Genomic DNA, 24,122 nt, shown 5'->3' with positions numbered 1-24,122 from the left:
GGGAAAGGCAACATGAGCTGTTCTTTCCTGGAGTCTGCATGGCTCCTCTTCTGGCTCTGCTCCTTTCATTTTTAAAAATTTTTTTAAATTATACTTGTTTTCTTTTTTTAAAACATTTTTATCTTTGATGACAGTACAACATGAACATAATTTCCACATTGTTTAAAAATCCACATAGCTCTTTTAATAAATAAAGCATATTCATGGCTTAGATTTTAAATCACATTTACAGATGAGAGAAAACTTCTAGGCCTAAACAGGTAACAGTGAAGCGACTACTGCTGGAAGGAGTGGTGTGCCACATGCGCCTTAAGCCTCAAGAGTGGGGACTGCAGGGCTAGGAACACCAAACACATCACCTCTAGGCCAGATGGAAAGCCGAGACCCAGGAAGCCCATGCAACCACCTCTGCCCCCTCCCCTAGTGCTGCAGAACCAACTGGATGCTGTGTTACTTTCAGATGAACTGGAGGTGGGTCCTGATCATATTACATGAAGCTTCCCACCATTGTGAATAATTAGGCAAGGCGTTAGTGTCAGAGGGGCATCACTGATAAATGCAAAGCAATATTGGGGCAGTAAAGAGGAAGCTACAGAAACATTCGCGTTTCTTCAAATATCAGAATCTTCCACATCATAGCAGGAGAGCTGAGAACGTGCTCTACCTCCTGAAGGCTTAGTCCAAAAATTTCCTGTTGGCTTTTGCACCAAAGAAGGCTCCCTGGACTTCTAGCATCATCTGCTGGGCTATGAGATCCAGCTGGCTTTCTGGGGTTTTGGAAACCTTTATTTTATGATTACCATTATAGATCTCAACTCCACCAGCTATGTCCTCAGGCAGGTAGGACTCCTGGTCGATTTGGACATCAACATTGTTTTTGGTGGCAATTTTGTACATAGGGATTGCCTTTTGCACCGCAGCCTTTACCAGAGGAAGGTCTTGTTTCCTGCAACGAACAATCATTCGGTGCTCCAGCAACTGGTACAAACCCTGGAGAACCAGTCCATCTAGCAGCACTTGGTACCTGGTTGTATCTTTTACCACCTTGCTGAGTCTCTGTTTTGCTTCATTTAGTAGGTCTGTGATAAGGTCATCTCTCGCTCTGAGGACTTTGAGCCTTGCTTGATTCATCAAATTGGATATCTGAATTTTCTTCTGCTACTCAATCTGTTTCTCTTTCTTCTCATGATATTCCATAATCTTTAGTCTTTGGGTTTCCACAAGCTGACCTTTCTCTATGTTGAACTCTTCTTCTGCCTTTGCATCTATTTCTTCTGCTTTCTCATTGGCTTCTTATTCAATGAAAGCCATCATATGCTTTATCTGCTTTCGCATGTCAGCATCACTGACAGCCATGGCAAGAGCAATGCTAGGCCGGAGAGCAGCAGGCTCGAGTTTAAGTTTGAAGGGGAAGGTGGGAGGATTGGGCAGAGGAAACCCCTGTGCAGATCTTTATCAATTTCCTTTACTTTATTAATTTCCACACTTTCTAAGCAAGCCTTGGCTTCAAAATGACCACAGTCAGGTTCTCCAAATGAGTGCAATTTTTTATAGATGTCTTTCCTCTGCACAGCCCAAGTAAAAAGTATGAGCAATTCTACTAAACTGAGTCTCAAGCCCAGACACCCCTCACAGCTTCCCTCTGAAACTGGGCAGTAATGCTTCCACCTCAGGAGTCATGCTGTCTTTGGGAAAATGCACTGTTTCACTGGGTGCCTGGCAGCATGGGTCTGTGCTTTATCCCAGTCTGCCCCTATGTCTGTGCTTTGGTGAGTATCTCAATCTCTATTTTTAGGTAGGTTCCTCACACTGTTAGCAGAGTAATGGGTATAACCCTGAGTCAAGACCTGGGCCTATCCTGGGAGTCTTCTGACCTGCTTATTCCCATGCCCCAGGCTCTAAGTGTCAAGAATTTGACATGGATGCTCAATAAATGAAAAATAAGAATCTTTAACCCAACCAACGTCATATATGGTAACCCAAACCTTCTCCAGTACTCAATCTATTACCAAGGCTCTAGGCAATCCATAATAACCTAGATCTAGGCCAAAACCAAATCACAGTAACCAATACCCTTCATCCAGTCTCTTCCTCTAGACTAGTTGCTCGTTGTTTTTTGTTTGTTTTTAAGACAGGGTCTTGCTCTGTCACCCAGGCCGGAGTGCATGGCACAATCATGGCTCACTGCAGCGTCAGCCTCCCAGGCTCAATCAGTCCTCCCACCTCAGCCTCCCGAGTAACTGGGACTACAGGTGCAAGTCACCACACCTGGCTTAGACTGGTTGCTCTTTGAGGGCCACTGGAACACTGTCCGCAAGAGAGATCAGCCCAACACAAAGAAGTTATCAATAAGCGTTTAGTGAATTTGACTTTTCCTCCTTACACTACAGAGCTACCACCTACAAAACCCTGAAAACACTTTTCCAACATTTCTTCTCTTAAGTAACAAACCCAGTATCCTGTAATCTAGGTTTTATTCATTTAGACAAGCATTTACGTAGGTCGCTGAAGAAAAGCAAGACAGATATCCCTTGCCTTCAACATGCAGTCACAGGAGAAATAAAGGACACACAATTAAGTTATAGTGTAGTATCATGATTCTTGGCCAAAAGAAAGAGTAAATGTCAGCAGTAAATATGAATGATAGAGTGAGGTAATACAAAGAACTTTGAAGTGAGAGAGGTAAGGTTGCCTACTATACTGGACATCTATTTTGGCTGCCTGCCATCCAATCACCCTTTTCAAGGAAGATTGTTCCTTCCCTACTCTCAGTCCATATGTTTATGGTATAGTTAATTCCACCCCGAACTCCAAGGGTCAACTTCTGACCCCAGGCATGACCATTAAAGCATCACCTTCCCCTGGTCACAGTGATTAGTTCCAGAATGGACCCATGACCTACTCTTCAGTGAGATGCAATGATTCTTTTGTGAGAACAATTAGAAGAGAGGCAGTCCATGTTTTAGCTATACTTTAGCCCAGAGGGATAGCTCCAGTGGTCTTGTACCACAAAGGGAAAGAAAGCCTGTCTCTGAATGGAGCCAACACAGTCTGTAGCTACCACGTCTGAGGCCGGACTTTTCAGCTACGTGAGCCAAAAAATTATCTTTCCTTAAGCTGAAATTGACTGCTTATCTATAAAATCAATCTATAATACATATAATCAGACCTTAGTAAAGTTACTTCGAAAAATTTAATTGTTCCCAAGTCACCTGGCTCTTTAGGGGGTTGGTCAGTCAAGGAAGCCATATGTTCAGTGGGGACACAGGTTTTAGAGCCAGACATTCATGGAGCTGATTCTGGCTTCTTAACCTTTCTAAGTGTTAGTTTATTCGTCTGTTAAATGCAGATAACAATAGTGTCATGTAATTTTTTTTTCATGTCTGAGGGCAGATTCTGTGAGCACAAAATAAAAGACTACTTACAAGAGCTTAGGTTTTAAGTTAATATTTAATTTATTAATTTAAAACTCAATACCTAGGTTTATTTATGTCTTAAAATTCAGTTCATAAGTATACTATTCTATCTGTAAGTCTATTATATATATCTATTATATGGATTTACAGATAGAATAGTATACTTATAAACTGAACTTATATAAAATAATTCAGTTTAAGGGGATCTTTTATAATTGTTCAAGTAACTCAGGTAGAACTATCTAAACTCTTAAACAGTCTCACTTATAAGCTTATACAATGTAATTATATTAGAATTTTAACTGAATTTGTAAATGTTTATATTCTTTTTCATTCTGTACCTGTCATATGCCTAATCAATCAAGTTCCATCCCTGAGGAGGCAGGACTAGATTGCAGCTCTGACTCTGATGGACAGAGCAGCATGTGGAGGCTTGCATGGTGAGTTTTAGCTCCAGAACGACTGCAGGAATAAGTCAGGAATCCTGTGAGGACCCACAGGCCCTCTGAAGGAAGTGAACTGCTCCTGCAAGACCTGGGAGACACCCCAAATACTGTGAGTACGCAAACTGCGGAAGTGGGAAAGGGAGATCCTCCGCCCCTGAACACACACCGCCACCAGGGAAACTGAAGGTCTAGTTTTTGGGAGAAGATTTCGACCTTACCTGGAGCTGAGTCAATTTAGAAAGCCAAGTGAAATACAGGGGTAGAGGAAGCAGTGGGAAAGGCCCTGGGAGCTTGCTGAGTCCCTAAGCAGGCCATTCCTGCCTGGCATCACAGGGCTCGTTTGAGAGGGTGGCCAGAGGTGCAGGGAAAATGCCACAGAGAGAAGAAAGTCTCCAGATGAACTTTGTAACAATTTGAACTAGTTGAGAAGCCTCCTGATTAGAACTTGGGGGAGGATGTGAATCCTGTGTGCAGACTCCACAGGTGTGGGAAGAACTAAAGCCCTTTTCTTTTGCAGCTGGGAGGCAGGTAGCCTGGGGCAAGTTCTCAGCCCTGCTTACCCACTGCCTGGAAACAGACTCGGTGCTATTAGCGGGGGCATAGTGGGAGTGAGACTGGCCCTTTGGATTGTGTGGGAGCTGGGTGAGGCTTGTGACTGCCAGCTTTCCCCCGCTTCCCTGACAACCTGTGTGACTCAGCGGAGGCAGCCATAATCCTCCTAGGAACATAACTCCATTGACCTGGGAACCTCACTCCCATCCCCCACAGAAGCCGCAGCAAGACCCACCCAAGGGAGTCTGAGCTCAGACATCCCTAGCCCTGCCCGCACCTGGTGGTCCTTCCCTACCCACCTTGATAGCTGAAGACAAAGGACATATACTTTTGAGAGTTCTAGGGCCCCATCCACCACCAGTTCCTCTTCATACTGCCACAGCAGATGCTCTCTGGAAAGCACCACCTCCCAGCAGAAGGCCAGCCAGCAAAAAAATAGAGCACTAAACCACAAAAGCTAAGAACCCTCATAGAGTCCATTTCACCACCCTGCCACCTCCACTGGAACAGGAGCTGGTATCCACAGCTGAGAGAACCATAGATGGTTCACATCACAGGACTCTGTGAAGACAACCCCCAGTATTACCACAGAGCCTGGTAGACTTGCTGGGTGGCTAGACCCAGAAGAGAGATGACAATCACTACAGCTCGGCTCTCAGGAAGCCACATCCATAGGGAAGCGGGGAGAGTACTACATCAAAGGAACACCCCATCGGACAAAAGAATCTGAACAACTGCCTCTAGCCCTAGCCCTTCACTTTGACAGAGCCTACCCAAATGAGAAGGAGCCAGAAAAGCAACCCTGGTAATATGATAAAACAAGGCTCTTAAACACCCACCAAAAGTCACACTAGCTCACCAGCAATGAATCCTAACCAAGAAGAAATCCCTGATTTACCTGAAAAAGTATTCAGCAGGTTTATTAAGCTAATCAGGGAGGCACCAGAGAAAGGTGAAGCCCCATGCAAGGAAATCCAAAAAACGATAAAGAAGAGAAGAGAGAAATATTCAAGAAAATAGATAGCATAAAGAAAAAACAATAAAAACTTCAGGAAACATTGGACACACTTAGAGAAATGCAAAATGCTCTGGAAAGTCTCAGCAATATAATTGAACAAGTAGAAGAAAGAAATTCAGAGCTCAAAGACAAGGTCTTCAAATTAACCCAGTCCAACAAAGACAAAGAAAAAAGAACAAGAAAACATGAACAAAGCCTTCAAGAAGTCTGGGATTATGTTAAATGACCAAACCTAAGAATAGTCGGTGTTCCTGAAGAAGAAGAGAAATCTAAAAATTTGGAAAACATATTTGGGGGAATAATCAAGGAAAACTTCCCCAGCCTTGCTAGAGACCTAGACATCCAAATACAAGAAGTGCAAAGAACACCTGGGAAGTTCATTGCAAAAAGATAATCACCTAGGCACATTGTCATCAGGTTATCTAAAATTAAGACAAAGGAAAAAATCCTAACAGCTGTGAGACAAAAGCACCAGGTAACCTATAAAGGAAAACCTATCAGATTAGCAGCAGATTTCTCAGCAGAAGCCCTATAAGCTAGAAGGGATTGAGGCCCTATCTTCAGCCTCCTCAAACAAAACAATTATCAGCCAAGAATTTTGTATCCAGCAAAACTAAGCTCCATATAGAAGGAAAGATACAGTCTTTTTCAGACAAACAAATGCTGAGAGAGTTCATCACTACCAAGCCACCACTACAAGAACTGCTCAAAGGGGCTTTAAATCTTGAAACAAATGCTGGAAACACATGAAAACAAAACCTCTTTAAAGCATAAATCTCATAGGACCTATAAAACAACAACAACAACAAAAAACATCAAGGTACACAGGCAACAAATAGCATGATGAATGGAATTGTACCTCACATCTCAATACTAACATTGAATGTAAAAGACCTAAATGCTCCACTTAAAAGATACAGAACTGCAGAATGGATAAGAATTCACCGACTAATTATCTGCTGCCTTCAAGAGACTCACCTAACACATAAGGATTCATATAAACTTAAAGTAAAAGGGTGGAAAAGGGCATTTCATGCAAATGGACACCAAAAGTGAGTGGGGGTAGCTATTCTTATATCAGACAAAACAAACTTTAAAACAACAGCAGTTTAAAAAGACAGAGACATTATATAATGGTAAAAAGCCTTATCCAACAGGAAAATATCACAATTCTAAACATATATGCAGCTAACACTGGGGCTCCCAAATTTATAAAACAATTACTAATAGACTTAAGAGATGAGATAGACACCAACACAATAATAGTAGAGGACTTCAATACTCCACTGACAGCACTATATAGGTCATCATGACAGAAAGTCAATAAAGAAACAATGAATTTAAACTATACCTTGGAACAAATGGACTTAACAGATATATACAGAATATTCCATCCAACAACCCGAGAATACACATCCTATTCAACGGTGCATGGAACTTTCTCCAAGATAGACCGTATGATAGGCCACAAAAGGAGCCTCAATAAATTTAAGAAAATTGAAATTATATTAAGCACTCTTTCAGACCACAGTGGAATAAAACTGGAAATCATCTCCTAAAGAAACCTTCAAAACCATGCAAATACATTGAAATTAAATAAACTACTCCTGAATGATCACTGGGTCAAAAACAAAAGCAAGATTGAAATTTAAAAATTCTTTTAACATAACAACAATAATGACACAACCTATTAAAACCTCTGGGATACAGCAAAGGCAGTGCTAAGAGAAAAGTTCATAGCCCTAAATGCCTACATCAAAAAGACTGAAAGAGCACAAACTGACATTCTCAAGTCACACTTCAAGGAACTAGAGAAACAAGAACAAACCAAACGCAAATCCAGCAGAAGAAAGGAAATAACCAAGATCAGAGAAGAACTAAATGAAATTGAAATGAAAAAAATACAAAAGGTAAATGAAACAAGAAGCTGGTTCCTTGAAAAGATAAATAAAATTGATAGACCATTAACAAGATTAACCAAGAAAAGAAGAGAGAAAATCCAAATAACCTCAATAAGAAATGAAGTGGGAGATATTCCAACTGACACCACAGAAATACAAAAGATCATTCAAGGCTACTATGATCACCTTTGTGCACATAAACTAGAAAATCTAGAAGAGATGGGTAAATTCCTGGAAAAATACAACCCGCCTAGCTTAAATCAGGAAGAATTAGATACCCTGAACAGACCAATAACAAGCAGCGAGATTAAAGTGGTAATTAGAAAGTTACCAACAAATAAAAAGTACAGGACCAGACAAATTCACAGCAGAATTCTACCACACATTCAAAGAAGAATTGGTACCAATCCTTTTGACACTATTCCACAAGATAGAGAAAGAGGGAACCCTCCCTAATTCATTCTATGAAGCCAGTGTCACCCTAATACCAAAACCAGGGAAGGACATAACCAAAAAAGAAAACAGCAGGCTGATATCCCTGCTTAACTTAGATGCTAAAATCCTTAACAAAATACTAGCTAACCAAATCCAACAACATATCAAAAAGATAATCCACCATGATCAAGTGTGTTTCATACCAGGGATGCAAGGATGGCTTAACATGGGCAAGCCAATAAATGTGATACATCACATAAACAGAATTAAAAACAAAAATCACATGATCATCTCAATAGAGACAGAAAAAGCATTCGACAAAATCCATCATCCATTTGTGATTAAAACTCTCAGCAAAATCAGCATACAAGGGACATACCTCAATGTAATAAAAACCATCTATGGCAAACCCACAGCCAACATAAGACCAAATGGGGAAAAGTTGAAAGCATTCCCTCTGAGAACTGGAACAAGACAAGGATGCCCACTCTCACTATTTCTCTTCAACATAGTACCGGAAGTCCTAGCCAGAACAACCAGACAAGAGAAAGAAATAAAGGGCATCCAAATCGGTAAAGAGGAAGTCAAACTGTCACCGTTTGCTGACAATATGATTGTTTACCTTGAAAACCCTAAAGACCCCTCCAGAAAGCTCCTCGAACTGATCAAAGAATTCAGCAAAGTTTCTGGTTACAAGATTAATATACACAAATCAGTAGCTCTTCTATACACCAACAGCAACCAAGCAGAGAACCAAATCAAGACCTCAACCCCTTTTACAATAGCTACAAAAATAAATAAATAAATAAAATACTTAGGAATATATCTAACCAATGAAGCAAAAGACCTCTACAAGGAAAATACAAACACTGCTGAAAGAAATCATAGATAACACAAACAAATGGAAACATATCCCATGCTCATGGATGGGTAGAATAAATATTGTGAAAATGACCATACTGCCAAAAGCAATCTACAAATTCAATGCAATTGCCTTCAAAATACCACCATCATTCTTCACAGAATTATAAAAAAATTCTAAAATTCATATGGAACCAATAAAGAGCCCACATAGCCAAAGCAAGACTAAGCAAAAAGAACAAATCTGGAGGCATCACACTACCTGATTTCAGACTATACTATAAGGCCATAGTCACCAAAACAGCATAGTACTAGTATAAAAATAGGCACATAGACCAATGGAACAGAATAGAGAACCCAAAAATAAACCAAATACTTACAGCCAACTGATCTTCAACAAAGCAAACAAAAACATAAAGTGGGGAAGGGACACCCTTTTCAACACATGGCACCAGGATAATTGGCTAGCCACAAGTAGGAGAATGAAACTGGATCCTCATCTCTCACCTTAAACCAAAATCAACCCACGAAGGATTAAGGACTTAAATCTAAGACCTGACACTAGAAAAATACTAGAAGATAACACTGGAAAAACCCTTCTAGACATTGGCTTAAGGATTTCATGACCAAGAACCCAAAAGCAAATGCAATAAAAACAAAGATAAATAGCTGGAACTTAATTAAACTAAGGAGCTTTTGCATGGCAAAAGGAATGGTCAGTAGAATAAACAGACAACCCACAGAGTGGGAAAAAATCTTCACAATTTATGCATTTGACAAAGGACTAATATCCAGAATCTACAATGAACTCAAACAAATCAGCAAGAAATAAAACAAACAATCCCATCAAAAAGTGGGCTAAGGACATGAATAGATAATTCTCAAAAGAAGATATACAAATACCCAACAAACATATGAAAAAATGCTTGACATCACTAATGATCAGGGTAATGCAAATCAAAACCACAAGGTGATATCACCCTACTCCTGCAAGAATGGCCACAATCAAAAAATAAAAAACAGTAGATGTTGGCATGGATGAGATGATCAGGGAGCATTTCTACACTGCTAGTGGGAATGTAAACTAGTACAACCACTATGGAAAACAGTACGAAGGCTTCTTAAGGAATTAAAAGTAGAACTACCATTTGATTCAGCAATCCCACTACTGGGTAAGTCAATATAAGAAGTCATTATATGAAAAAGATACTTGCACACACATGTTTATAGCAGCACAATTCGCAATTGCAAAGTCGTGGAACAAACCCAAATGCCCATCAATTGATGAGTGAATAAAGAAACTGTGGCATATGTATGCAATGGAATACTACTCACCCATAAAAAGGAATGAATTAACAGCATTTGCAGTGACGTGGATGAGATTGGAGTCTGTTCTTCTAAGTGAAGTAACTTAGGAATGGAGAACCAAACACTGTGTGTTCTCACTGATATGTGGGAACTAAGCTGTGAGAATGCAAAGGCATAAGAATGACACAATGGGCCAGGTGCGGTGGCTCACGCCTGTAATCCCAGCACTTTGGGAGGTCGTGGCAGGTGGATCATGAGGTCAGGAGATCGAGACCATCCTGGCTAACACGGTAAAACCGCAACTCTACTAAAAATACAAAAAATTAGCCAGGTGTGGTGGCGGGCGCCTGTAGTCCCAGCTACTCAGGAGGCTGAGGCAGGAGAATGGTGTGAACCCAGGAGGCGGAGCTTGCCGTGAGCGGATATTGCGCCACTGCACTCCAGCCTGGGTAACAGAGCAAGACTCCATCTCAAAAAAAAAAAAAAAAAAAAGAATGATACAATGGACTTTGGGGACTTGGGGAGAAGGGTGGGAGGGGGCGAGGGATAAAAGACTACAAATAGGGTGAAGTGTAGACTGCTCGGGTGATGGGTGCACCAAAATCTCACAAATCACCATTAAAGAACTTACTCATGTAACCAAACACCACCTGTACCCCAATAACCTGTGGGAAATTTTTTAAAATAAATATAAATTTAAAAAAAAAACAAAAATTTTCCATCCCTGATAAGCAAATCCTTCCCAAGTACTCAACTAAAAATTATTATGTATATTAAACATGTAAATCTATTAGGTCTAATTGTCAAATATTTCAATACTGTTTATAACCCTAATTAAATTTTCATACACCTCACAGGTCTAATTGATCAAATTAAGCTAATCTATTGGATTCTTCAATATGCCATATTATATTAAAATTGCACTTTAAGTACCATACTCCTCCACACATGAACTTATTATAAACATAAAATTATTAACATAATAGGTTTGATTTATTTATCATCTCTATTTTTAATTCTAGCCTTTTCAGGTTTGAAAAGCCACTTACTCACTGAGTTCTAGCATCTCCAGGGAGTTCGGATTACTAGGTCAAGAATTGACAACCATGATAGAGTTACCATCTCAGGGGGCCAAGTTGAGGTGACTGGCTCAACAGTTCACGGCTGTGAGATAGTTACCTTGTCAGGAAAACTGGGGTTGACATCTTAAACAAGTTGAAGCTATAGAGTTGAAAATTTATTAACACAATAAGGTCATTATCGGTTAGAGATTTGACATTGGGGAACAGGATCTGAACTTTGCAGGCTTCCAGAATGATTCTACCTGAGCTACATGTGGATACAGTGAGTCCTTTTTGTAGTCACCATGACAACAGGGGACTTCTAGTCCATATCCTTCTACTGGATTCAAATTACACCCTTCTGTAATTCATCTGGTCAAAGTTTGCAACCTCACTCAGGTTGCAAGAATAGAAACTTCTACCACAATTTGAGTAGATACGTGAGCCTCTTAAGAATTTTTTTTTTGTTTTTTGAGACAAAGTCTCACTCTGTCGCCCAGGCTGGAATGCTTTCAGCTCAGTGCAACCTCCACCTCCTGGGTTCAAGTGATTCTTCTGCCTCAGCCTCCCGAGTAGTTGGGATTACAGGTGCATGCCACCCAACTCAGTTAATTTTTGTATTTTTAGTAGAGATGGGGTCTCACCATGTTGGCCAGGCTGGTCTCTATCTCCTGACCTCAGGTGATCCGCCCACCTCGGCCTTCCACAGGGCTAGCATTACAGGCATGAGTCACTGTGCCTGGCCATCTTATGATATTTTAATGTACTTGTTTTTTAACAACTACATGCGTGACCTTTCCACCCATCTCCCAAAATTCTGCTGTAATTGGTCTGGCTAAAGCCTAGGCATCAGGATTTTTCAAATCTCCTCTGGTGGCTCTAATATACAGCCAAGGTTGAGAATCACTGATATGCCTTCTCCTTCAGCTGTAAAGACATATTAATTTTATTCCACCAGAGCTTGAATACTTTTCATACCTCTTTGTCTGCCACGAAATTGTGTTGATGACAGTAAGTTATAATATGGGATAGTGGTTGAAACTTCAGGCCCTAGAAACAAACTGTTTAGGTTTGATCTTGAGTGAATTTCTTACCTTCTCTGTGCCTTAGCGTCACTAATTGTAAAATGGGAATAATAATTGTGCTATCATAAACAATAATGGTGGATGCTGCAGCTCCCAGAACTACAGCCACAATATCAGGAGCAGGAGCGGCAGTGATGGCATGTCACCTGCAGGTATTTTATGCATGGGGTTTGTAAGAAGGAGATAACTGTCACTACTCATATGACCTCTCTGACAGTCTGTATGGTGTAGTGTGCAATTATTTTCAGCAAGGGTACTGCATTTATGGAGACCGCTGCAGATATGAACATAGCAAGCCACTGAAACAGGAAGAAGCAACTGCTACAGAGCTAACTAAAATGTTGTCCCTTGCTGCTTCCTCAAGTCTCTCATCGATAGTTGGACCACTTGTCAAAATAAATACAGGCAAAGCTGAGTCAAGAAATTCAAACTTTGCAACTATATGAGCAGGTTCAGAGGACTGGGTGAATACTATTGAGTTTGTTCCTGGGCAACCCTACTGTGGCTGTACTGTGCCTTCCTGCACTGAAGCTCCCCTGCAGGGCTCAGAAGAATCAGAGAAAGAGCAAACTGCTATGGAAACAAAGAAGCAGCTGTGCCCCTATGCTGCAGTGGGAGAGTGCCAATATGGGGAGAACTCTGTGTTATCTCCACGGAGATTCATGTGACATGTGTGGGGTGCAGGTACTGCATCCGATGGTTGCTGCCTAGAGATCACAGCATGTAAAATCGTGCATTGAGGCTCACAAGAAGGACATGGAGCTCTCATTGGCTGTGCAGCACAGCAAGGACTTGGTGTGTGGGATCTGCATGGAGGTAGGCAGTCTATGAGAAAGCCAACCCCAGCAAGTGCCACTTCAGGATCCTCTCCAACGGCAACCACACCTACTCTCTCAAGTGCATTTGCAAGTGGAGAAGTGCTAAGCAATTTGAGAGCAAGATCATAAAGTCCTGCCCAGAATGCCATATCACATCTAACTTTGTCATTCCAAGTGAGTACTGGGAGGAGGAGAAAGAAGAGAAGCAGAAACTCATTCAGAAATACAAGGAGGCGATGAGGAACAAGGCGTGCAGGTATTTTGATAAAGAGCATGGGAGCTGCCCTTTTGGAGGGAACTGTTTTTACAAGCATGTGTACCCTGATGGCCATAGAAAGGAGCCACAGAGACAGAAAGTGGGAACATCAAGCCGATACTGGGCCCAACAAAGGAACCACTTCTGGGAACTCATTGAGGAAAGAGAGAACAGCAACCCCTCTGACAACGATGAAGAAGAGGTTGTCACCTCTGAGCTGGGCAAGATGTTGCTTATGCTTTGGGCTGCAGGTAGGGACGATAGACTGACAGACTCTGAAGATGAGTGGGACTTGTTTCATGATAAGCTGGAAGATTTTTATGACTTGGATCTATAACAACCTTGCATGGCGTGTGAACTGGTCTGCTGACCCCAGACAGCAGCTGTCCCCTGTGGTGGTGTGGCAGTGCCTGTGTTCTCTCCTAGGCAGGCCTATCAACTCCAAGTGCTGCGGTAAGAATTTTTACCCAGGGCCTGTCTTCTCAACCCCTACCCTTTCCGCGAGGAGTGTGTTTTCCCTGTTGAAAAAACTTACAAAAATAAATCTTAAAGTTAGTTTTTTGTAACATGAATTTAACCGTCAGTTAGTGTAGGTGTGTTGCGCCATCTGTTTTCAACCAGATTGTGTTTATGGACTTTTCACACACTCATTTTGAGGACCCCAGGTTCAAAAGTAAAAGCAGTGGTCCTGCTTTGGGGTCCAAGAATAGGAGTGATGGGTGAAGGGACCTAAGCTGGCCAATAGCCTTCTGCTCCAGACATGGGACGTGGATCCTTGAGGTTTCTGGTGAAATCTGCACATCTGTGTTTTTATATCTGTTCCCTATCCTGTAATCCCTACCACGTGCACTTGTTCTGTGGTTTTTGGTCTCTTGTTTAATTGTACATAAGTGATACTACTGGGTAACCAGAACCAGGTGCAAATGTGTTGAGATTTCTACTGTTTTGCATGTTAGGAAAATTGAGAAAGAATACATATAAAAGATACAGAGGCATAACATCAATGCAGAGTTGGAAGTTGACTCCCAAGGGCTGACATAATGTGTATGAGTGTGGGTGTGTGAAAAGCTTCTCATCCCTGCATAGATGCAGTATTCTTAGCCTTAGCAGAAAAAAGTGGTTTAGTGGTTTAAGCCTTGTACAGCAGGATAGATCTTAAAGGGCAAAGCACTATATTGGTAGTTGTCAATATAGCAGTGCTAGCTCTGTCTATATAAACAGAGAAATGGGGTTAGCCATAGAGGTTAAAACTACCTGGTTATCCCATATGTTAACACAAACTGGGTCTTGGATACACTGTGTATTTAATGTTTTATGATCTAGCTTTTCCAGTACAGGCACTTTCTGAAAAACCTTTGTCTTCATTTGGGGCATTTTGTTGTCGAGTTTTTGTGTTTTTTTTTGTGGGTATTTGCCTCATTCCACCCCTGAGTTTTCACATAGACAGATGTGATACAAAACTCTGTTCTAAGGTGTCTATTGTAGTGGACTAATGGGTTTGCAGTAATAAGTCATACTTTTCCACTGAAGGGGAGGGCTTGGGAATCCCTAAGACTAGCTAAAATTAAGTTATTTGAAGAATTCCTTGATTGGAAATTTTACCTTTGTGTTTTGTCGCTTTGTTTCCTGAAAGTAACTCGGGGATGCTCCTGGTTTGTCCATTTACTGCTTTGATTCCTTGGATCCCACCCATTCTTTCACTTTATGAAAATACAAATAATTGTTGCAGAGGTCTCTGTATTTTGCAGCTGTCCTTTTGTAAGAAGCACTTTTCCCAAATAAAACAATTCAAATAATAGTCACTATCTGTAAGATGTGAGGAATAATTGTTCCTATCTTCTAGGGTTTTTTTTTTTTTTAAGTAGGGTTAAATGGCATTAATTATACATTAAAGGCATTATACATGTAATGCTTACTGCACAGCATTTGCACATATTAGGTGCTCAATAAATTTTAGCTATTCTTGGCTGGGTGCCAATGGCTCAGGCCTGTAGTCCCAGCACTTTGAGAGGCCAAGGCCAGTGGATTACTTGAGTCCGGGAGTTCCAGACCAACCTGGGCAACATGGCAAAACCCCGTCTCTATAAAAAATACAAAACAATTAGCTGGGGGTGGTGGCGCATGCCTGTGATCCCAGCTACTCAGGAAGATGAGGTGGGAGGATCGCTTGAGCCCGCCGAGTGGGCAGAGGTTGCAGTGAGCTGAGATTGTGCCACTGCACTCCAGCCTGGGCAACAGAACAAGACCCTGTCTCAAAAAAAAAAAAAATTTAGCTATTCTTATCATCATTTTCTATGTGAATTATCGTGTAATCTGAAAATAAATCTCTTCCTCTCCAATCCTTATACTCCCTCTTTCTTTTTCCGATCTTATTGTATTGATCGGGACCTCTAATATCATGGTGAGCATTGATGGTGACAGAAGTACCCCCATTTTATTGGCTCGTTTAGTTACTACTGTTAAATAAAATGCTTCCAAAGTTTAGAAGCATTCCTCGCACATTAAAGTATGAGGTTTGATAGAGGTTTTGCTATAGATACCCTCTTTCATATTAAGGAGGTTCTCTTCTTATTTTTAAAGGGGAACTGAATTTTATTGCTTGCTTTTCTGTCATTAAGAGAGATGATCATACAGTTTTCCTCCTTTGATTTATTAACGTGAATTCCACTTGTTGAAAAGATATCATTCCCTCCACCTTGGCGCCTCCCAGCCAGGAGCCCAGCCCCTACGATGAGACTGAAATGCACTACTCCTTCCACTTGCTCATCCAAGAGCAGAGCCGCTGGGAGGCCCAGGAGGGGCTGGAGCTGTAGCAGAGGGAGAGGGGTGGTGGCCACAGCGAGTGGCCAGCAGACACTCTTGGGGCCCGAGGGCACCCACAGCACGGCCACACTCTGCGTCCTGGCCAGCATTCCCAGCCTCACCATTGGCCGGCCCCTGCTCGCAGACTTGGTGCGCTCCTCCCGGCACAGCCTGCGTCTGTACGACCTGAAGCTGGACCCCACGTCCTGGGAGGAAGAGGAGGAGAAGCGGAGCCTCCTGGTGAAGGAGCTCCAGGGCCTGGCTGTGGCGCAGCGGGACCACGTGCTTCGAGGGATTCCCCTAAGCCTGGCTGAGAAACGCGGCCTGCGAGAGAAGAGCCGAACCCAGAGCGGGAAGTGGAGGAGCCTGCGGGGCCATGGCAGAGTCTGCTCCTGCTGTGGTTGGCTCAGATATGTCTGTGTGCTGGCCTTGCACAGCCTGGGGCTGGCGCTGCTCTTGGGCCTGCAGGCCCTGAAGCCGTGGCGCTACGTCCTGAAGCGCATCAGGGGCTAGTTCAGCTCCAACGTGCTCTCCTACTTCCTCTTCCTTAAGACCCTGCTGGCCTTCAACGCCTTCCTGCTGCTGCTGCTCGTGGCCTTCATTGTGGGCCCGGAGGCCGCCTTCACGCCCGCCCCGCCGGGCCCTGCCCGCATCTGCTCTGGCCTGGAGCTCCTCAAAGACACAGGCTGCTTCACCCACATCATCATGTATTACAGCCACTACAGTAATGCTAAGCTAATGCTAATACCGGGTGGGCAGCACCTCTGGCATCCACGCCGTCACTATCTTCTGCTCCTGGGACTGCAAGGTGAGGCAGAAGCGGGCCCCCCGCCCTCAGCAAGACAACAGACAACATTCGCACCGGGAGAAGGAGCTGCTGGCCCGAGCAGCAGCTGCGGCAGAGCCCCAGGAGCGTGTGCGGGAGGCTGCGGCAGGCGGCCATGCTGGGGCTCATGTGGCTCCTGTGTCTGGGGACTGCGCTGGGCTGCGCTGTGGCCGTCCACATCTTCTCGGAGTTCATGATGCAGAATCCGGAGGCTGCTGGCCAGGAGCCCGCGCTGCTGGTCCTGCCTCTGGTGGTCGGCCCCCTCAACCTGGGGGGCCCCTACCCGTGCCTTGGCCTGACCGCCCTGGAGCTGCATGACTCCCCGGTGCTGGAGTTGTACGTGGCCATCTGCAGGAACTTCATCCTCAAGCTGGCCATCCTGGGGACACTGTGCTACCACTGGCAGGGCCGCAGGGTGGGCGCCCTGCAGGGCCAGTGCTGGGAGGAACCCGTGCTGTATGGGTTCCTGGTGATGGACTCGTCCTCACGTGCTGGACACGCTTTTCGGGGAATTGATGTGGAGGATTATCTCCGAGAAGAAGCTGAAGAGGAGACGGAAGCCTGAGTTTGACATTGCCCGGAATGTTCTGGAGCTGATTTACGGGCCGACTCTGACCTGGCTGGGGGTGCTCTTTCTCGCCGCTCCTCCACGCGGTGCAGATCATCAAGCTGCTGCTCGTCTTCTACGTCAAGTAGACCAGCCTTTTGGCCAACTGCCAGGCACTGCTCCGGCCTTGGCTGGCCTCCCACGTGAGCACCATCTTCCTCACGCTGCTCTGCTTCCCCGCTTTCCTGGGCGCCACCTCTTCCTCTGCTATGCCGTCTGGCCTCTGCTACACCCTCAGCCATCTGCGGCCCCTTCCGGACCCTGGACACCATGTACGAGGCCCGCAGGATGTGGGTGCCCCAACTGGAGGCAGCGGGCCCCAGGGGCTCCTGGCTGCCCTGGGCGCACCGGTACCTGGTGGAAAACACCTTCTTCGTCTTCCTGGTGTTGGCCCTGCTGCTGGCTGTGATCTACCTCAACATCCAGGTGGTGCTGGACCAGAGGAAGGTCATCTGCCTGCTCAAGGAGCAGATCAGCAACGAGGGGGAAGACAAAATCTTCTTAATCAACAAGCTTCACTCCATCTACAAGAAGAAGGAGAGGGAGGAGAGGAGCAGGGTTGGGACAACCCAGGAGGCTGCGGCACCCCCTGCCCTGCTCAGACGAACGGGATGCCTAGGGGGCCGGCAATGGGCCTCGCAGGCCCGCCCAGCGCCCTGAGACCACACTGGTCCCTCCCAGTGACCCCGCTGGGACACCAGGACAAGGAAGAGTCTGCTTCTCCTCTCGAAAGCTGTAGCCGTGCCTAGGCTGGAACCGAAAGGGTGGGTGAATCCGACTTGGACACCCCCAGTGAACTCTGCCCTGCCTGGGACTCTATTTATTCTGATTAAAGGGGTTTTGCAGAAAAGAAAAGACATCATTAAGAAGGTGAATTTATCATATAAGAAGAGGGAAAGAGGGAAAGGCATCAAGATTAACTAAAAGAAATAAAATTAGTTAAGTCAGCAAATTCAAGAGAAACTATACAGATCAGCTAGATCTTATGAAGAGAGAGGAGAGAAACGAACAAAAGTTATGGAATGTTTCTATTCTTGTGACCATCACTGTGAGAGTTTCAAGAACACAGTGGGTGGTCAACCAAGTAAGATTAACGTCTCCGAAATGGCTGCACTGCATATATTCTTTCTATCTTTTACTGCTCTTGCCTCTTTCCAATTACAATAAGATTCTATTTTGTTAATTTTTTTTTCAAGTGAATGGTGTCAGAAAAAGGGTGCATTTTGTTTTGTTTTGTTTTCAGTTTTTTTTCCCCAACTTTTTATTTTGGAAAATAATATCGGCCGGGTGCAGTGGCTCACGCCTGTAATCCCAGCACTTTGGGAGGCCGAGGTGGACGGATCACTTGAAGCCAGGAGTTCGAGACCAGGCTGGCCAACATGGCAAAACTTGTCTCTATTAAAAATACAAAAAATTAGCCTGGCATGGTGGCTCGTGCCTGTAATCCCAGCTACTAGGGAGGCTGAGGCAGGAGAATCACTTGAACCCGGGAGGCAGAGGTTGCAGTGAGCCAAGATCACGATATCGCACTCCAGCCCAGGCAACAGAGCAAGACTCTGTCTCAAATAAAATAAAATAATAACAAAAAAAATCTCCACAAAAGGTGAAATTATAGTATAATGAATTAATAGTTTCTCCATCACCTAAATTCACTGATTGTTAACATTTTGCCACATTTTACTTATCTATATAATTTTTTCTTTTTTGTTGAACCATTTGAGAGTTGCAGACATCATGGCATTTTAAATCAAAACACTTCAGCATGCCTCTGTTTAAGAACAAGAACATTCTCCTATATATCCACAATGCCATTATCACATCCAATAAATTTAACATTAATATAATTGTATCTAATTATATAACATATTAAAATTTCATCAATTCTCCCCAAAATTTCTTTTCTAACTTCTTTCTTATTTGTTCTAATTAGGGATACCACATTGCATATGGTTATCAGGCATTTTTAGTATCCTTTAATTTTTCTTTTTACATTTTTGAAAAATAGAGACAAGTTCTCGCCATGTTGCCTAGGTTAGTCTCGAACTCCTGAACTCCAGTAATCCTCCTGCTTTGGCCTCCCAAAGTACTGGGATTATAGGCATGAACCACTACACCGCATGAACCACTATGCCTAGCCCTTGAATCTTAATCTTTAATCTAGAATAGTATACACACAAATGCATGTATGCATATAACACACACACACACACACATATATATAGTTTTTCATAACACTAATATTTTTGAAAAGTCCAAAGAAGTTGCCTTGTTGAATGTTCTACAATCTGGATTCATCTCACTCTTCTCCCATAGTTAGATTCAGGTTAATCATTTTGGCAAAAATACTACATACATGATGCTGCATACTTCCTATTACTTCACATCAAGAGGCACCTAATGTCAGTTTGTCTCATTATTGGTGATAAGTTTGACCACTTGGTTAAGGTAGTGTCCATCAGATCTCCATTACAAACATGTTTTCCTGTTTGTAATTAATCACATAACCTATAGAATATACTTCGAAACTGTGTGAACATCCTCTTCTGCAACAATCTTTCACCCACTGGTTTTAGCATCCATTGATGATTCTTGCTTGAATCTGCTTATTACGCTCATGATTGTAAAATAGTGATCTTCTAAGGCAATACCACATGCAAATGCTATTAGAGAACTTAGCTCTACCTTAGGAGGAGGACTGGGGAGGCATTTTCAAGAGATTCAAGCAGAAGACAAAGAGATAATGTCATAAATGAAAAGATTATCTTGAGTTTCTACAGTCAAGAAAGTTTCTAGGTTTTAGATCCATAGGACAGTTGTTTCTCCTGTCAACTTTAGCCAAGTCAGTTTATGTTAATAAATCGTCAGTTGGGCTGGGCTCGGTGGCTCATGCCTGCAATCCCAGCACTTTGGGAGGCTGAGGCAGGCGGATCACCTGAGGTCAGGAGTTCAAGACCAGCCTGGCCCACATGGCAAAACCCCATCTCTACTAAAAGTACAAAGAAATTAGCTGGGCATGGTGATGTGTGCCTGTAATCCCAGCTACTCGGGAGGCTGAGGCAGGAGAATTGCTTGAACCTGAGAGGTGGAGGTTGCAGTGAGCTGAGATCATGCCACTGCACTCCAGCTTGGGCGACAGAGCAGGACTCAATCTCAAAAATGAATGAATAAATAAATAAATCATGCAGTTACACATCTGTTTTATCTCTGTGTTGAAGTCATTAGCCTTATTGTCTGGAATGAACCCAAATGTTCATTCCCCTAGTCCTCTGTATAATTTGGCTTGGATCAGAGTAATTGTAGTGGCTGATTGCTTACATTGTTCTCGTTGCCTGTGCCATTGCCTCAGATGAAGTAATGAGACTAGGCTGGGAAGCCAAAAGCACTGATGGAGTTTCTAATTTTGAAAACTCCTTACGTTTCTGGAATAAGCTATACTTTGTGAATGCGTTATTTTTAAATTTAATACTGGACTTAAAATTAATATTTTATTAAAATTTTTGCATCCATGTCATAAATAAGATTGTCCATTCTATTGCCCTTAAATGTTTTTGTTATCAATATTATTTCAACCTCTTAAAAATGAGTTGAAAATTTTTTTCCCCTTTGGAACAACATGTATAAGACAAGAATCATCAGTTCCTTTGAAAGTTTAGTAAAAGCTCACTAGTAAAATGGTCTGGCTTGTGGGCGGATCACGAGGTCAGGAGTTCAAGACCCACTGGGCCAACATAGTGAAACCCCATCTCTACTAAAAATACAAAAAAGTAGCCGGGCGTGATGGTGGGCACCTGTAATCCCAGCTACTTGGGAGGCTGAGGCAGGAGAATGGCTTGAACCTGGGAGGTGGAGGTTGCAGTGAGCCGAGATCGTGCCATTGCACTCTAGCCTTCTTGACAGAGTGAGACTCCGTCTCAAAAAAAAAAACAAAAAAACAAATGGTCTGGCTTTAGTGACTTTAATGATAATAAATAATTTGAAGCATTCCCCTAAAAAGAATACAATAAAATTCATACTCTATAAAACTATAGAGCAGTAAAAATCAAAGAATACATGTGACAACATAGATAAATCTCAAAACTATAATATTGGACATTTCAGTTTTTTCCAGTTGCTTTTGTTATTTTTGTTTGTTTTGCCATTATGGACAATGCCACTATACACAGTCTTCTACATGTTTCTTGGTGCCCACATGCAAGAGTTTCCCTAGGGAATATACCTTGTAGTAGAATTGCTAGATTGTAGGGTACATGCATGTTCAACTTTTTAAGGTAATGCCATACAATTTTCCTATGGGAATTTTCCAATTTATACCAATATTAGAAACATACAAAAGTTCCTATTATGCCATATTCTCGTTAACATTTGGTATTATCCAACTTTTATATTTGGCGGTTGTGAAACTGGATTTTACTGTGGTCTCAACACACATTTTCCTGACTTTGAATGAACCTGAACATTTTAAAATATGTTTACATATTGTTTATGCTTTTTATTGAGTGGAAATAATGCTTTTTTTTGTCCATTTTGCTAACTGAATTGTCTCTTCTTATTGACTTAAGAAATTATTTACATATTCTACATATCAAATCTTACTTAGCTTTATGTGTTGCAATTATTCTCTCATTTTGTAGCTCATCTTTTCACTCTTTTTTTCTTTCTTTCTTTCTTTTTTTTTTTCTGAGTCAGAGTCTTGCTCTGTTGCCCAGGCTGGAGTGCAATGGCATAATCTCAGCTCACTGCAACCTCCACCTCCTAGGTTCAAGTGATTCTCCTGCCTCAGCCTCCCGAGTAGGTGGGATTACAGGCATGTGCCACCATGCCCGGCTAATTTTTGTATTTTTAGTAGAGGCAGGGTTTCACCATGTCATCCAGGCTGGTCTCGAACTGCTGTCCTCAGGTTATCTGCCCATCTCGGCCTCCCAAAGTGCTGGGATTACAGGCGTGAGCCACTGTGCCCGGCCCTTTTCACTTTTTTTATGTGAAATGTTTAATGTTAATGTAGTCAAATTCATTGATATTCTTTCTTTTAGTTTGTCCATTTTTGACCAAATTAAGAAATATTTTCCTATCCAGTAGTCAAAAAGATAATCTTCTATATTGTCTTGTATAACAATTTTTCTGTTTATATATAGGTCTCAAATACTCTAGGAATTGACTTTTGTGTATGTTGTAAGATAGGGATCCATTTTATTTTTCCCCTTATAATCAATCATCCACATACAATTTACTTTAGAAGGTCTGTGAATTGTCTATTTTAAAATTTTTAATTTTGAAATAATTTTAGATTTAGAGGTAGTTGCAAAGATAGTAGAGAGTCCCTGTATACCCTTCAATCAGTTTCCCCCAATGGTTGTATCTGACATAATTAAGGTACACTATCAAAACCAGGAATAACACATGGATACAATGTATGTGTATAGTTCTATATCATTTTATCACATGTGTATATTTGTGTAACCACCACAACAATCAAGATACAGAACAATTATATTATTATAAAGATCTCCCTGTGCTACTATTTATATTCACACATACCCAATTGTCTTTCTATTCTGTTTAAAGTATCTTTCAAAGACCAGAAATTTTGAATTGAAAAAGAAAACAACCCAATAAAAAATGGAAAAAAATATGTAAACAGACACTTCACCAAATAAGATATATGGATGCAAATAAGCACATAAAAATATTTTCAACATCATTGGCCACTAGGGAAACAAACATGAAAATCACAACGGTATACTTTGGAAAACAGTTTGGCAGTTTTTTAAAAAGGTAAGCATATACCTACCACTTGAGCCAGCCATTTCTAGTTATTTATTTACCCAAGAGAAATGAAAGCATATTGATGGCAGCTGCAGCCCATCTAGAGTGGCCACTGCAAAGTTGCTGGCTTTGCAATGGAGGAGACCCAGCTGGAACTGCATGCACCAAAGAGCTGGGAGCTGGAAACAGGTAGGAGCCCCACCTTTTTCCAAGTTGGCAGGGTGGGAGACCTGCTATCCCAGGCACAGCTGCAGCCACCCAGCTGTGGTTATGGATCCAGGCATCCTTGCACTCTCGGGGGCCCAGGAAGCCCCCCTGCCCCTGCAGGCTTGGAAGTACCTGCTCCCCTTGCCTGGCCTATCCCTGTATCCAGTGCATGCTCTGATTTTGGAACAAAGTTGAGGCCAAGCCTGGGCACTGTCACAACCCAGCAGGGTGTGGGAGTGCACTCAGGGTGGCGTTGACACACCAGCCCCCTGCCGCCTCGGCCACCTCCAGACTTTGAGATTGAGGGGGTTCTGAGGGCATCTAGGCATGGGCCTGCAGGCACCCTTCAGCACAAACAGCCTGGGCACTGTGGATGACATGATTGATGGTGGCAGGAGGCTGACAGGATTCTGGGCAGGTCCCCGGTGAAGCCCCATCTTCATGCCAGAAACGTCCTGGAGCATGGGAACTCGGCTGTCAGTTCTGGATGGAGTCTGCAGCCTGGAATGAGAACTTATGGTGCTTTTTCTGGGCCCACGTGTGGCCACCCATGGATCAATAAGCACACACTTCCTCCCTTCTGAAGCCCATAAAAAACCCAGACTCAGCCAGACTCAGAGTCACACAGATGTTGGGACAACCTGCCTGCAGATAGGAGCTACCCACTCTGGGTCTCCTCTCTTCTGAGGGCTGCACTTGACAGGATGAACTGCCTGTGGAAAGGAGCTACCTACATTGGGTCTCCTGAGAGCTGTACTGT

The 24,122-nt window shown here is 42.8% G+C and overlaps 1 long non-coding RNA gene and 3 pseudogenes across 1 annotated transcript in view; 2 read left to right on the top strand and 2 right to left on the bottom strand.

Moving 5' to 3' along the window:
- Positions 1–475: 475 nt before the first annotated feature.
- On the bottom strand, positions 476–1,474 carry ATP6V1E1P1 (ATPase H+ transporting V1 subunit E1 pseudogene 1; annotated as a pseudogene).
- Positions 12,148–14,957, top strand: MKRN8P (makorin ring finger protein 8, pseudogene; annotated as a pseudogene).
- LOC339539 (uncharacterized) overlaps positions 15,796–24,122 on the bottom strand; it is a 31,171-nt gene continuing 22,844 nt past the window's right edge. Inside the window, exon 4 of the long non-coding RNA NR_104171.1 lies at positions 15,796–17,916. This is a non-coding gene — a long non-coding RNA (uncharacterized LOC339539). The remainder of the gene's footprint in view (positions 17,917–24,122) is intronic.
- Positions 15,867–18,237, top strand: LOC100420252 (transmembrane channel like 6 pseudogene; annotated as a pseudogene).

Source organism: Homo sapiens, chromosome 1 (genome assembly GCF_000001405.40).
Source record: "Homo sapiens chromosome 1, GRCh38.p14 Primary Assembly".
Classification (NCBI taxonomy): domain Eukaryota; kingdom Metazoa; phylum Chordata; class Mammalia; order Primates; family Hominidae; genus Homo; species Homo sapiens.
This window is presented reverse-complemented; position numbering and strand designations above follow the sequence as displayed.